At 36.8% G+C, this 16301-nt stretch overlaps 1 pseudogene; it reads right to left on the bottom strand.

Annotated features, from left to right (window-relative positions):
- On the bottom strand, positions 12253-13173 carry OR4T1P (olfactory receptor family 4 subfamily T member 1 pseudogene; annotated as a pseudogene).

Genomic DNA, 16301 nt, shown 5'->3' with positions numbered 1-16301 from the left:
TTGTTCAGTTTCCATGTAGTTGACTGGTTTTGAGTGAGTTTCTTAATCCTGCGTTCTCGTTTGATTGCACTGTGGTCTGACAGACAGCTTGTTATAATTTCTGTTCTTTTACATTTGCTGAGGAGAGCTTTACTTCCAACTATGTGGTCAGTTTTGGAATAGGTGTGGTGTGGTGCTGAAAAAAATGTATATTCTGTTGATTTGGGGTGGAGAGTTCTGTAGATGTCTATTAGGTCCGCTTGGTGCAGAGCTGAGTTCAATTCCTGGGTATCCTTGTTAACTTTCTGTCTTGTTGATCTGTCTAATGTTGGCAGTGGGGTGTTAAAGTCTCCCATTATTAATGTGTGGGAGTCTAAGTCTCTTTGTAGGTCACTCAGGACTTGCTTTATGAATCTGGGTGCTCCTGTATTGGGTGCATATATATTTAGGATAGTTAGCTCTTCTTGTTGAATTGATCTCTTTACCATTATGTAATGGCTTTCTTTGTCTCTTTTGATCTTTGTTGGTTTAAAGTCTGTTTTATCAGAGACTAAGATTGCAACCCCTGCCTTTTTTTGTTTTCCATTTGCTTGGTAGATCTTCCTCCATCCTTTTATTTTGAGCCTATGTGTGTCTCTGCACATGAGATGAGTTTCCTGAATACAGCACACTGATGGGTCTTGACTCTTTATCCAATTTGCCAGTCTGTAGTCTTTTAATTGGAGCATTTAGTCCATTTACATTTAAAGTTAATATTGTTATGTGTGAATTTGATCCTGTCATTATGATGTTGGCTGGTTATTTTGCTCGTTAGTTGATGCAGTTTCTTCCTAGTCTCGATGGTCTTTATAATTTGGCATGATTTTGCAGTGGCTGGTACCGTTTGTTCCTTTCCATGTTTAGTGCTTCCTTCAGGAGCTCTTGTAGGGCAGGCCTGATGGTGACAACATCTCTTAGCATTTGCTTGTCTGTAAAGTATTTTATTTCTCCTTCACTTATGAAGCTTAGTTTGGCTGGATATGAAATTCTGGGTTGAAAATTCTTTTCTTTAAGAATGTTGAATATTGGCCCCCACTCTCTTCTGGCTTGTAGAGTTTCTGCCGAGAGATCCGCTGTTAGTCTGATGGGCTTCTCTTTGTGGGTAACCCAACCTTTCTCTCTGGTTGCCCTTAACATTTTTTCCTTCATTTCAACTTTGGTGAATCTGACAATTATGTGTCTTGGAGTTGCTCTTCTCGAGGAGTATCTTTGTGGTGTTCTCTGTATTTCCTGAATCTGAATGTTGGCCTGCCTTGCTAGATTGGGGAAGTTCTCCTGGATAATATCCTGCAGAGTGTTTTCCAACTTGGTTCCATTCTCCCTGTCACTTTTGGGTATACCTATCATACGTAGGTTTGGTGTTTTCACATAGTCCCATATTTCTTGGAGGATTTGTTTGTTTCTTTTTATTCTTTTTTTCTCTAAACTTCCCTTCTTGCTTCATTTCATTCATTTCGTCTTCCATCACTGATACCCTTTCTTCCAGTTGATTGCATCAGCTCCTGAGGCTCCTGCATTCTTCACATCGTTCTCAAGCCTTGGCTTTCAGCTCCATCAGCTCCTTTAAGCACTTCTCTGTATTGGTTATTCTAGTTATATATTCTTCTAAATTTTTTTCAAAGTTTTTAACTTCTTTGCCTTTGGTTAGAATTTCCTCCTGTAGCTCGGAGTAGTTTGATCATCAGAAGCCTTCTTCTCTTAACTCATCAAAGTCATTCTCCATCCAGCTTTGTTCCGTTGCTGGTGAGGAACTGCATTCCTTTGGAGGAGGAGAGGTGCTCTGCTTTTTAGAGTTTCCAGTTTTTCTGCTCTGTTTTTTCCCCATCTTTGTGGTTTTATCTACTTTTGGTCTTTGATGATGGTGATGTACAGATGGGTTTTTGTTGTGGATGTCCTTTCTGTTTGTTCATTTTCCTTCTAACAGACAGGACCCTCAGCTGTAGGTCTGTTGGAGTTTGCTAGAGGTCCACTCCAGACGCTGTTTACCTGGGTAACAGCAGCGGTGGCTGCAGAATAGCAGATTTTCGTGAACCGCAAATGCTGCTCTGTGATCGTTCCTCTGGAAATTTTGTCTCAGAGGAGTACCCGGCCGTGTGAGGTGTCAGTCTGCCCCTACTGGGGGGTGCCTCCCATTTAGGCTGCTCAGGGGTCAGGGGTCAGGGACCCACTTGAGGAGGCAGTCTGCCCGTTCTCAGATCTCCAGCTGCGTGCTGGGAGAACCACTACTCTCTTCAAAGCTGTCAGACAGGGGCATTTAAGTCTGCCGAGGTTACTGCTGTCTTTTTGTTTGTCTGTGCCCTGCCTCCAGAGGTGGAGCCTACAGAGGCAGGCAGGCCTCCTTGAGCTGTGGTGGGCTCCACCCAGTTGGAGCTTCTGGGCTGCTTTGTTTACCTAAGCAAGCCTGGGCAATGGCCGGCGCCCCTCCCCCAGCCTCACTGCCACCTTGCAGTTTGATCTCAGACTGCTGTGCTAGCAATCAGCGAGACTCTGTGGGCATAGGACCATCTAAGTTAGGTGCAGGATATAATCTCCTGGTGCGCTGTTTTTTAAGCCCATCGGAAAAGTGCAGTATTAGGGTGGGAGTGACCCGATTTTCCAAGTGCCGTCTGTCACCCCTTTCTTTGACAAGGAAAGGGAACTCTGTGACCCCTTGTGCTTCCCAAGTGAGGCAATGCCTCGCCCTGCTTCAGCTCGCACATGGTGCACTGCACCCACTCTCCTGTGCCCACTGTCTTGTACTCCCTAGTGAGATGAACCCGGTACCTCAGATGGAAATGCAGAAATCACCCGTCTTCTGCGTCACTCACGCTGGGAGCTGTAGACTGGAGCTGTTCCTATTCGGCCATCTTGGCTGTATATCTCTTTTGTAACTACATTAATTTGAAGAACACAATGCTCCAAAGTAATGTTTCCTGTCAGAGGACAAATAAGAAGCCATGTATTAGACTCTTCATTGTTCTGTTACAAAAGACAATGTCTTTAAGCCTCTGTTTCACACCATGTCTCTATATCCATTTTATGAACAGTAAAGTACAATATGCTCATTGTTGCAAAAACATTTCAAGTGTACACAAAAGTGTAAGTGTTCCCATTTTTAGGACACCCTCAAAAACTTTTTAGGAAACTAGGTTGCAAGAGACTCTCATTATTTGCCATATGACAGTGTTCCTTCTTCTGAACATATAATAGCAGTTTTCCTCAAGGAAACCACCTGGAACAACAAAAAATCTATTTTATTCACGAGGGGTAGTTTGTATAGCTTTAATAATGGGGATGTAGAGAATAGAAGCATACAACTACCAAGTAAATTTTTAAATTGTGCCCTGTTTTACCATATTATTTTTGCTTGCAGTCCACAGAATCTAATATACCTCATTTTATAAGGAAGGATTAAAGGGGATCTTTAAAAAATTTGCAGAAATTTTAAGGGTGGTGGCAATTCTAAAAAGTACTAGACAACCAGACCTAAGCTGATGGAACATGGCCCCAAACTTCATTGCAAAGCTCCTCTCACTGCTGACCCCATATTCACTCTGTCTCTGCCATGATAGGCAAAAATGCCACTGACAATGCCAAACCTCCAATTATGCAGGCTTTGGGCTGCTAGTGGTGCTAGCAAAATGAATTTGCACTCTCAGACTTATCACTTACATGGCTCCCTTTGAAATAAAAGTCTCTGACAGGTATATATATCTGATGGTATATGAAGCTGTCATATATCTACACTTCACTAATGAGGATGAATGGGAAATACAATATTTTATTACCATTATTATTTTTTATTGACGAGGCAGGGTTACTCTAGTAGGATTATCAAAATATAAAGACGATGTTCAAAAGCTTTTAAAGAAGCCATAAAAGATGGACATCTCTACATATACGATCATTACCAATGACTTGACATGTAAAAGAAACATTTCATAAGATGTGATCAGGTTATGTGCATGAAAGTTGAATGTGGTCCAACCTCTCTTTGTCCAATCTTCCTAAGAAAGAATGGGACAGATGGGAAGCAGTTTTCAGTGTTTGTATTTTTAATCAATTACAGAGTAAAGCCTCACCACCAGAGTAGTGAGAAATTAATTATATAAAATACTCATAACTTAATCTATGAAAAATAACAAGAACTGACTGATTTTCTTCCGCCAAGTTGCTAGCAAGTGATGAGGGTATAAGGCTCTTTAACTGAAACCCAACCAAGCAAAGATGCAGAAATGAGAAGGTGAATGATCTGAGCAACTAGAACAAGATGTATGAGACCATCTTGCTGAAGCAGATAGAAACAGTGATTAGACATGGAAAGAACATTTACCAAGTTTTTGTAATAAAATCCAGAGAGCATTTGAAGTGTGTTCTTTTTTAATTTATCTTTCATATTATTTTTAAAATAATATTTGATACATGCAGCTGTAATGAAGAATGAAGATCTCTATGACCTGTATGAAGTTCACATGACCTGATATTTCCAGGAAACACTGTTAAACAAAAAGAGCAAGATAATTACAGTAAGCTAGTTTAGTATAAGACAAAAGGGGAAAGCCATATATCTGGACATTTGTTCAAAACAAAACTCAGAAAACAAAACACAAAATAATGAGACTGATTGCTTACGAGTGGTAAGTGGCAATGGGATGGAAAGGACTGGGAACTGGAATGCTTTAAAAAGTATAGGAGGGTAGTGTTATTGCTGTGAGGAGAGTAGTGTTTTTGCTATGAGTATACATTTTGCTGAAATTTTGACTTTTGAAACCATATTAATACTTCACAGGCACACACACATATAATATATGTGTTATTTTGTGTATAAATAAATATATATATATATCCTTTGTTGAATATATATGCTACATATATATTCAACAAAGAGAAATACCCTAAAATGAAAAATTAAGAGAATCAAATAAACCTAATTGTATTTCAAATGGATAACATAACCACACTGAAAAAGAATAGTGTTGAATTAACCCAAATAACTTTTGACTGAAGTATTTTGACTATATATCACAAGAATGTAGATTCTATAACATTCTGTGTAGTCTGGAATTTAGCAAATAGGAAGGGTATAGTGAATAAAGGGTTTCACTTTTTCAGTGCTGGAAAAGGGAATTGCAGATGTCGAAGAGGGAGGTTATAATAAAACCTGTGTTCTTGAATTGGAACTGGAGTTATCAATGTGGGTGACCGGTTATATATAAATTATACTTTTATTTATATATTTTATATGCATTCAAATATATATATAAATTAGGAAAAAATATGTGTATACACACACACACATATATATACACACACACATACAAACACTCATATTTTTTTTTAACTCTCTCCTCTAAGTGGATCTAGAAGAAGTGACATCACAGTAGCAATGATCTCAAGTTCCAGAACCTTGGTTTCAAATAAACATTATCCACTGCAAGAAACTAGTATTCCTTAGAGACATAGCTAACTTCAGGACTGGGGTGGGGAAAGTACAAAATAAGTCTGGAACGTCTTTTTGTGCAGTTAAGTAACTTTGGTTCAACAAGGGGAGACTTTTGACATGCCAACTTGAATGGGAACCTACTATCCAAATATAGAACAATTTGAGCATTGTAATAATTTTGGTAACAGATTCTGAACTGTAGAAAAACAGGAAAAAGTCCATGCAGATATAAATGGATATATGAGTAAATAAATAAATACGATAAAATTAAAACTCTTTCTTTGTAGAGTAATAACTGATAAATATAAATCAAATTATGGAATTAGAAAAGAACCATTTGGAAATCATCATTTTAATAATTAATTCAAGCAGGAACCATCCATGGCTACTAAAACTAGTGAATACAATTTTTATAAGGAACATAGTATTTATACAGTCTCAAAATATTTAGCTGAATAGCACTTGTGAATTACAAAGGAAAAATAGTAACTTTAAGGGTGATACCTGGCAGAAAACACCTTACTGAAGTTATCAAACTTGTTACTACAAGCAATGGGACAAATCAACATCATATACTCCTGATATAAACCCCTGAGAAGAACACGTCACCAGAAACTACCCCAGATGAAAAGTTTGAATCTAATCATGAAGGAACACTGACAAACTCAAATGTACAGATTCTACAAATTCCATTGTCTGCACTTATAAAAAATGTCAATGTCATAAGTGTTAAGGAAAAATCGAGGAATTGTTGAATATTAACGTATAATAAAGAGATATGGCAATGAAATGTAATTTGTGAACCTGGACCAGATATTTTTTCTTTTTTAAAAGGGTTTTATTTATGTAATTGACAACAACATTTTGTGTCCGGAATTGGTGGGTTCTTTTTCTCACTGACTTCAAGAATGAAGCCGCAGACCCTTGCGGTGAGTGTTACAGTTCTTAAAGGCAGTGTGTCTGGAGTTTCTTCCTTCTGGTGGGTTCGTGGTCTCTCTGGCTCAGGAGTGAAGCTGCAGACCTTCTCGGTGTTACAGCTCATAAAAGCAGTGCGGACCCAAAGAGTGAGCAGCAGCAAGATTTATTGCAAAGAGCAAAAGAACAAAGCTCCCGCTGTGTGGAAGGGGACCCCAGCAGGTTGCCACTGCTGGCTTGGGCAGCATGCTTTTATTCCTTTATCTGGCCCCACCCATATCCTGCTGATTGGTGCATTTTACAGAGCCGATTAGTCTGTTTTGACAAGGTGCTGATTGGTGCGTTTACAATCCCTGAGCTAGACATAAAGGTTCTCCAAGTCCCCACTAGATTAGCTAGGTACAGAATGCTGATTGGTGCATTTACAAATCTTGAGCTAGACACAGAGTGCTGATTGGTGTATTTACAAACCCTGAGCTAGACATAAAGGTTCTCCAAGTCCCCACTAGACTCAGGAGCCCAGCTGGCTTCACCTAGTGGATCCCGCACCCAGCTGCAGGTGGAGCTGCCCGCCAGTCCCACGCTGTGCGCCCGCACTCCTCAGCCCTTGGGCGGTCGATGGGACTGTGTGCCGTGGAGCAGGAGCAGGGGAGCGGGTGAGTGGGGGGAGTGGGGGGAATGGTGTGGGGGGCTCGGGGAGGCTTAGGCATGGCAGGCTGCAGGTCCCGAGCCCTGCCCCATGGGGAGGCAGCTGAGGCCTGGCGAGAATTAGAGCACAGCAACGGTGGGCCAGCACTGCTGGGGGACCTGGAGCACCTGCTGCAGCTGCTGGCCCAGGTGCGAAGCCCCTCACTGCCCGGGGCGGCGGTGCGGGCTGGCCACTCTGAGTGCAGGGCCCGCCAAGCCCATGCCCACCCAGAAGTCACTCTGGCCCGCGAGCGTAGGGCACAGCCCCGGTTCCCTCCCACCCTCCCCCCGCCCCGTCTCCCTCCACACCTCCCCACAAGCTGAGGGAGCCAGCTCTGGCATTGGCCAGCCCAGACAGGGGCTCCCACAGTGCAGAGGCGGGCTGAAGGGCTCCTCAAGCACGGCCAGAGTGGGCGCCGAGGCCGAGGAGGCACCGAGAGCGAGCAAGGGCTGCCAGCATGCTGACACCTCTCAATTTAATAAGGGCTATAGATTAGATATTCATTTAAAATATTAATGTAAATTTTCTGATTTAAAAAGTTACAGAGTTTTAGGCAATACACACTGAGGAAGGGGTAAAAGGGCATCATGTGTTTAAGTTACTCTCACAGTTCTGACATAAAATTATATATGTGTATGTGGTGTATACAAAGAGAGACAGACAGACAGACGGACACAGAGAGATATCTGAGGAATTGACTCACTGGCTCATGTGATTGTGGAGACTCCATGAGTCCAAAATCTGATGGGCTAGGTCTGCAGGTTGGCAACTGAGGGAAGAGCTGTGGTTTGAATGTAAAGGCAGGATTCTCAGGGAAGGTCAGTCTTTGTTCTAATAAGGCCTTTAACTGTTTGGATGAGGGCCACTCAAATTATGGAGAGTCGTCTGCTTTATTCAAAGTCAATTAATTTAAATGTTAATGTCCTCCAAAAGACATCCTCACGGAAATATCCAGAGTAATGTTTGACCAAATACCTGGGCATCATGGGACAGCCAAGTGGATACATGAAATTAACAATATAATATGTATAGAAATACAATTTTATATGCTGTGTATACAGCCACATATATATGAATATCATAAATGTATATCTGTATTATATATCTTTATGTAAACATATAAAACTCATATTAAATAATATTTATATTATAGCAAAATAGAAGTCCCATTAATTACCTATAACAGGCAAACTTAAAGCAAAATAATATTTGCAAGTTGAAAATAAAGGGGGAATATTAAGGAGAAACTTTTGAAACTCTGTTAGAGGATATAAATTGTTATTTGAATAAATGGAAGAATATGCTCATGCTCATGCTGGTATATGAGATGGCATAGCATGGCAATGATGCCAATATTACCCCAAATGTATATACTAATAACAATTTATCTACCTTTTAAAAAATTATAGTAAAACGAACATATTTAAAGATACATTCTTTGCTATGTCAACTTTGAGTAGAATAATGAAAAAGATGAACATATCAGCTAAATATTAAATCACCTACAAAGTGATAGTAATAAAAATAATATAATAATAAAACAGAAGACATATAAATGGCACTGAATAGAAAACACAGGTCATATATGATTATGTACACATATCTTAGCTGAGATACACACACAGACATATATGATATATGATGACCAATCAAAGCGATCAAGATCAAATTGGTGATGTTGTTGGAAATAGTGGTTTACTAAAAGGAGATAAAGTTAGGTTGCTACCTTCCTTGTATACAAATGTGTATTTAGAAACATTTAACAACAAAATGCAAAAATATAATAGAATAATAATAGAATAAAATATCTTTGCAACCTAAGTTAAGAGAAGAACATCTATAAACAAATCTTTTAAAAATGAATAAAAAGAAACATTTTAATAAATAATGACACTATAAACATTCTATCCAAAGACGAATACTAGGGGCAAAATTAACAAACAGTAGTAGATTAAAAAAAATGTAATAAATTGACAAGATTATTTGTCAAAAAGAATTTCTACAAGGATGGGAATGTTCTAAATTGGTCTTATCTCATAGTAGCCTCTATGGCTACTGAACACTTGAAAAGAGGCTAATGTTAGTGAACTAAAATGTCAATTTTACTTTTTAAATATGTATTTAAATTACCATCTAAATGGCCACATATGATAATAGATACCATATTGGACAGTGCAGATCTACAGGATTCAAATAACAAGAAAAGTACAGAAAACACATTTTAAGTGATGAAGGTCATGAAAGAACAAATCACAGAACTGAAGCTCGAATAGCTAATAGATATGAGAGACAGGTTCCAAACTCACTGGTAATCTAAACCAACAAACAACAACAACAACAATAAAACAAATTAAAGCAACAAAGTATTATTTACACGGCAAAACAAAATTTAGAAAAATGATGAAAGCTAAATTTTATAAAGTGATGGGAACTATTGCTCTGCAATTGCAAGTAGACTGGTTAAGTCGTTCTGGAGACACTCAGTAGCATTTAGTGAAATTAAGGGGGTAACTTAAAAATCCTGCAATCACAATAAGAAGGTCATGGAAAAATTAGGACTCCTCAAGAGTATGCATATCTACAACTTTGTATGGAAATTTGGCAATTTCTAATAAAATTAAAATGTAAATATTTATATTACACATTTACATTTAAAGATAAAATATAATTCAGCATTTCCAGTTCTAAGTACATACCCTAGAGAAATTATCACGTGTGTACCCAAAGAAACATATATAAGTATGTTCAACTAAACCGTATTTATTAGGCTAAACAATTATAAAGATTATAAATGTCTCCAAAAAAGAGGAGACTTAATCACATTTTAGCATATCCATACAAGACCCTATAGCTGCTAAAATGAACGAAGCAGAATGGCACATTTCTGAACAGATAAATATTTTAAACATAAGATTAAGTGAAAATAAATTTTTAGATAAAAGCATTTATCTAGATTTCAGTTAAATCAAGTTCAAAAATATGTGACATAACATTTTATGCACAATGCATGCATACATCAGAAAAATAATTTTAGGCTGGTCGTGGTGGCTCACACCTGTAATTTCAGCATTTTGGGAGGCAGAGGCAGGCGGATCATTTGAGGTCAGGAGTTCAAGACAAGCCTGGCCAACATGGTGAAACCTTGTCTCTACTAAAAATACAAAAATTAGCTGGGTGTGGTGGTGCATGCCTGTAATCCCAGCTACTCGAGAGGCTGAGACAGGAGAATTGCTTGAATCTGGCAGGCTGAGGTTGCAGTGAGTCGAGATTGTGCCACTGCACTCTAGCCTTGGCGACAGAGCCAGACTCCGTCTCAAAATAATAATAATTTTAAAAACATAAAAGTAAATGATGCCATGGAGCTGATGATAGTGGTTATCTTTGCCAAGATAAAATAATTGAATATGGAGGGTTGCTTAGGTTCTTTATTATCTCTAATAATCCACTTTGGTGGTAAAAGAGAATCTGATACAAATGTGTCAAAATGTTTAAAAATTCAAAAAATTATGTGTTATGTCAGTATCTACATTTAACCTTATAATTTAAATAGTTGATAAGAAATAGATATAAATATGTCCAGTGATTCCAAGGGACCCAGTACCAATGTGTCTCAATGATTTTTTAAAAAACATTTAATTTAAAATATACCATACACATATGGCTATGAATACATCTTTAAGGCACCTTTTAGCTCTAGTTAACATAGCATACATATTACTTAGGAGACAGTGAGGAAATACCGGGTAGAATCCTCTAAGGGGTCAGTAGATGTTTGGGTAAAAGCAGAGCATTTTGAATTTGATGCCAAACAGGTCATAGAATGTGTATTTATTCTAATGTCCATGGACCGTAGATCTAACTTTATAATTTAGTACACTTTAAAGCTTTCTTTATGCAACTTAATCAGATTGAAAACTTTGTTTTGTTGTGAAGGGAATGCCTGGAAAATATATAGGCTTCTTAATTTATTCTTTACTCATGTGAATTGGCAGAATAATAATGTTCTTACTTGTTTCTGGAGAGATATATGAGAGAAAATATGAACAAAAACATGAAAGATTAAAATGTTCTATGTGTAATTTTTTGTCAGGTGAAATTTCTCTTTAGAGTGAAGAAGTGTATGCTTCATGTCAGTGGATTACAGTAACTATATGCATCTATATACTCATAAAAACTAGCCTGTCTGCCTTGTTAAAAAATAATAATCCTTTCACATATTAGGGGCACAAAAATGTAAGTGTGTGTGTTCATGCTTGTGGGTTTATAAGAGTTCACACAACTTTGTTTACATTTGGTCATTTAGAGAATTTGGCTGAAAGATTACTAGTTAAAAGTAGACAAATTTATATTTGATTTCTCTTATTTAAGGAAAGTCTTAGATACATGGAGTCTCTAAATATAGTTAAGAAGCCAGTTTTTCTAGTTAACTTTTTATTATATTTTGAAAGTAATTTATTAACCCAAATTTGAATTGAAAGTTAATGAAAATAACTATGCTTTTTTTTTCAAAAATATTTTAAGGTCGGGGTACAAGTGCAGGTTTGTTTCATAGGTGAACTTATGTCATGGGGGTTTGTTGTACAGATTATTCCATCACTCAGGTATTAAGCCTAGTACTCATTAGTTTTGTTTCCTGATTTTCTCCCTCCTCCCACCCTCCACCCTCCAAAAGGCCCAGTGTGTGTTGTTCCCCTCTATGTGTCCATGTGTTCTCTTTTGCTTTTAAGTGAGAACATGCAGTGTTTGGTTTTCTGTTCCTGTGTTAGTTTGCTAAGGATAATGGCCTCCATCTCCATCCATGTCCTTACAAAGGACATGATCTCATTGCTTTTTTATGGCTCTATAGTATCCTATGGTGTATATATACCACATTTTTTAAATCCCAGTCTCTCATTGATGGGAAATTAGGTTGACTCCATGTCTTTGTTATTGTCAATAGTGCTGCAATGAACATATGCATGCATGTATCTTTATAATAGAATGGCTTATATTCCTTTGGGTATATACCCAGTAATGGAGTTCCCAGGCTGATAATTATATTTTCAACAAAACCACACATGCCATAGAAATATAATAATGAAAAATTATATTTGATAATTTCAATATATGCAATATTATTTATAGAAATCAACAAATAAAATTAATATCAACATATTCTGAAACGTAATTTATATGGGTTCTGAACTAATATCCTGTCCTCATGATTGCTGATTAGAGAAGGTTTGTCTGGAGATGATGTGTTGGGTCCTCAGTTGATGTATAGATGCTTTCATCTCAGACTGTAAGTAATGGGGTTCAGTAAGGGTGTAACTGAATAAAACACAGAAAGAAATGTATCCACTGAAAAGCTCCTAAATGGCCAAGTGTAAATGTAGACACATGGCTCATAAAAATAGAGTGACTGCAGTGATATGAGCAGACAGTGTGGACAGAGCCTTGGAGAGTGCATCAGAGGATCGATGCTGCACAGTTACCAGAATAATAGTGTAGAAAATGAGCAAGACTATGAAGCAGATGAAAGACAACTGTCCACTTTTAGCAATTACCAGCAACTCCAGATCATAAGTCTCAGTGCAGGCAAGCTTCAGAACTAGAGGAAGGTCTCAAAATAAATTGTCCACCACACTGGGGCCACAGAAGGGCAAGGTGATAATAAAAACAATCTGGCTTATAGTATGCACAAAACCAACAGCCCGTGATAGCAGCACAGAGCCCATGAGTGGCCATGAGTACCCTGCAGTTCGTGATGGTTCTGCAGTGAAGAGGTCTGCATATTGCAATGTGCTGATCAACAGCCATAAATATGAGAAGAGTCATCTCACTGCCTCCTAAGAAGTGGAGATCTGAGCCATACAGCCCCATGAGGAAGTGGTTTTATTCTCCCTGAGAACGTCTGGACCATCTTAGAGATTGTGACTGTGGAAATAAACATACTGAGAAAGGAGAGATTTCCAAGGAGGAAGTACATAGGTGTTGAGCAAAGGGGAGGATTGGAGGTTACAGCGATTGCAGTGAGGTTTCCTGCCATGATTGCTGCATAGGCCAACAAAAATATTTAAGAAACAAAATTTCAAGTTCCCAAGTGCTGATGAATTCTAACAAAACAAACTCAGATTATTATTGAGCTGTTTCTTATATCCATCTGGTAGTTTTCAAAAGCTATTTGAAATAAAGATAGTCTGAAAAAAGTTATAATTTTACCTGTGACCATTTTGAAGATATGGACATATAGAAAGTATTTGATTCCTACAGAAAGAGAGAAGATGAACATATATGAAAAATACAATTTAATTAATTCAAGTGTCATTGACATTATTGTATTTTCTTCAATCAGAAAGGCACAAAAGATGAGAAATATATTATAAAATTCTGTAATTATGGTTTGCAGACATAGATTTTTGTCTCCACGTGCATTTATTGTCTCTATGATGAGTTCATGAGTTCTTGATGCATGAGTTCAATAGGTCCATGAGTAAAATTAGTCAAATAACTATTAGCCAAATGAGTTAGTCCAAGAGTGGATAAGAGCAAAGTTGCTTAGCTTTTTGGTGCCTAGTATTCATTCTTTTCCCTCTCTCTAATTTGAAGCATTCATACATGTGCAAGTGAGTTTACTAATACACCCAGTTTAACACATTATTTTATGGCACTTTCTTCTATCTGCTATACTATACTCTTACCTCTCTCTTTTATCCCCAAATGATATACCAATGATTTCACTTATTTCTGAAGCTTTAAGCTGGCTGCAGTCTGGCATATGTTCTTACTGTTCACCCCATGCTTTTATAATTATTTTAAAATGTTAACTTTCTAGAAAGTTTCTAGATAAAATCAAAAATGTTTCCCAGGGTCCAGATGTATTTTTTTTTCTTTTAGTGTAGTATTTTGTGTCATAATTTGGTTACTGTACAAAACTCCTACCATTACTGTGCAGACCTCTTGCTTATTTTCCTGAATCTCATGTTGTTGGGCTCCTGGCTGGAGTGCTTTCTTTCTTGTCCCTTTGCAATCTGTGTTTTGTAGACAGTCTCTGAGCAACCAACAATCCTTTATGTTTGTGTTTCCTTGGCTTTTAAATGCATATCTTCCTGTACCCAGTGCTTTCCTCTGATATTTCACACACATGCAAACTGCCTCCTGACTATTTTACTGGCTCTTACATCCTTGACACTTGTATTCTATATGTCTTCCCACATTGAGCTGACACTTTCGGCTCACTTCCACTAGGTTGGTGCAAAAGTAATTGCGGTTTTGCACCAACCTAATATCTTCCGTTTAGATTTGATTCAGAAATTTAATCCTAGCTTCCTTTTCCTTCTCTTTTATTTTTATGACAATTATTAGTAAACATCACATACATACACACACACACATAGAGAGAGGGGGAGAGAGAGAGAGAGAAAAGAGACGTACACAGATGCAAATGAACATATTTATACCACATTCTAGTTCTGGAGCACCAGAAGAGAAAAAAGAAAATCTATTCTATATTTCAATTTCATGGCTTAATAGCTCATCAGATATTCAGAATACATTATTTGGCTTAAATATCTAAGTTAAAAGGAAAACCTGAAATGCCAACATTTAAATTCTAGTCCTGGCCTCAGCATTTAATAGGGAAATACACTCCTAACTCTTTTGAACATGGATTTTTTCCTGTAAAAATAAAATAATACCCAATCTTTAACCTCACAGATTGGTAGGAGGTTCTAAAGGGTAACATATATGAAATATATTTATGCATTTAATCGTATACATACAGGTGCTATGCATGTTCATTAATGAAATTCTATTCTTTAGAATTACCCCATTTTCTGGTAACTATAAAGTTACCCAAACCAATATGGACCACAGAACTTTACTTTGGAAGAATGGTAAAGAAGACTTAGTGTCAATGAAATTATTTTTCTCTATTAAATATAATTGGTAGAACTGTGTAGTTGACTACTTTATAAAAGATTAAAATTATCATCTTTAGCATCTGCTTTCAGGCAGTAATTGAATCTGCATAGTAGGTATGAAATTGTTTTTCAAAATTATGCACCTTTAATCTCCAAATACTAACAGGAGAAATTCTTGAGGAGTCTCACACAGTAATTTTTTTTAGTTTAATATGTAAAATAAGAAAATTAAGACCATAAAATTATATTTATTACTGTTTAGGCTTTTTTGAATTTTTGTAAGCATATTTTTAAAAATATCCAGCTAAGTCTATATTTAAATGGATTAAAATACATTGTTATGGATAAAATCATTCATTATGACAATTTGTGTACATGGCCAAAGATTAAATATTTTAAAAAATGTTCATTTTAAAATCAGTGCTAAAAATAAGTTAAACAAAGCAAAAGAAAACAGATCTCCTTAAGGCACAGTTAAACTTCAAATAAAAAATTTTAATTTTTGAGTATTACATGTTATACAATTAACAGTTTACTAAAAAGGAATACAAAATAACTGAATTAAATTGGATCAAATAGCATTTTATTTCTCTCTCTCTCTGGATCAAATAGCATTTGTAACTCTCTAGCATTTTCATCCCAGTCTGAGAATGGGATGAATGGCTTATGACTGGAGGACCTAGCTCTTTCAGTGCCTTTCAGGTGGCTAAAAGATGTAGCATTACTACACTTCTTTTAACTCGTTGCTTATTTAAGAATGAAAAGAATAGGATGTCCAGTACTGTGGGCATATGTTTGGTAACAAGTAATACATTTCTACAAAAGCACTAAAATAGTAGTTGGCATATGTGGAAAGGTATAACTGACAGTTATTTTTATAACAACAAGGGCTGCATGGCTTCTATTGGTCATAAGTTTTTGTTATGTTTCCTTTTCATGAAAGTGTTAAGCCATATATGGATTAATCTATGGATAATGTTCACTTATCACCAAGAAAAATGTTTGGAAAGCAAAAAATTATATTTGCTGCCAAAATAACCACTATAAATATTGTAATACACTTGTATATTCAATAGAAATATTCTCAACATTATAAGTGCAAGAAAACTTTGTTCTGATATATTTATCAAGTTAATAAAATAGAAAAAGAACCCTTTTAGATGTAGGTTAAAAAGCGCTAGTGGGTTTAGAAAATAAGGGATAGTACTTGGGTGGCAAAATTATAAAAAGTGAATATATTAGCAGTATGGCTAGACAATTCCATTAACTAAGAGGTTATATGTGTTCAGTCAAGAATACAAGTGGAGAGTAAAGGGAAATAAAAAAGAATCAATTGATTTAGCCATTTATCTCATTT

This window comes from Homo sapiens, chromosome 14 (assembly GCF_000001405.40).
Source record: "Homo sapiens chromosome 14, GRCh38.p14 Primary Assembly".
In the NCBI taxonomy this organism is placed as follows: Eukaryota; Metazoa; Chordata; class Mammalia; order Primates; family Hominidae; genus Homo; species Homo sapiens.
Note: the sequence above shows the minus strand (reverse complement) of the source record. Positions and strands in the feature narration are given on the sequence as shown.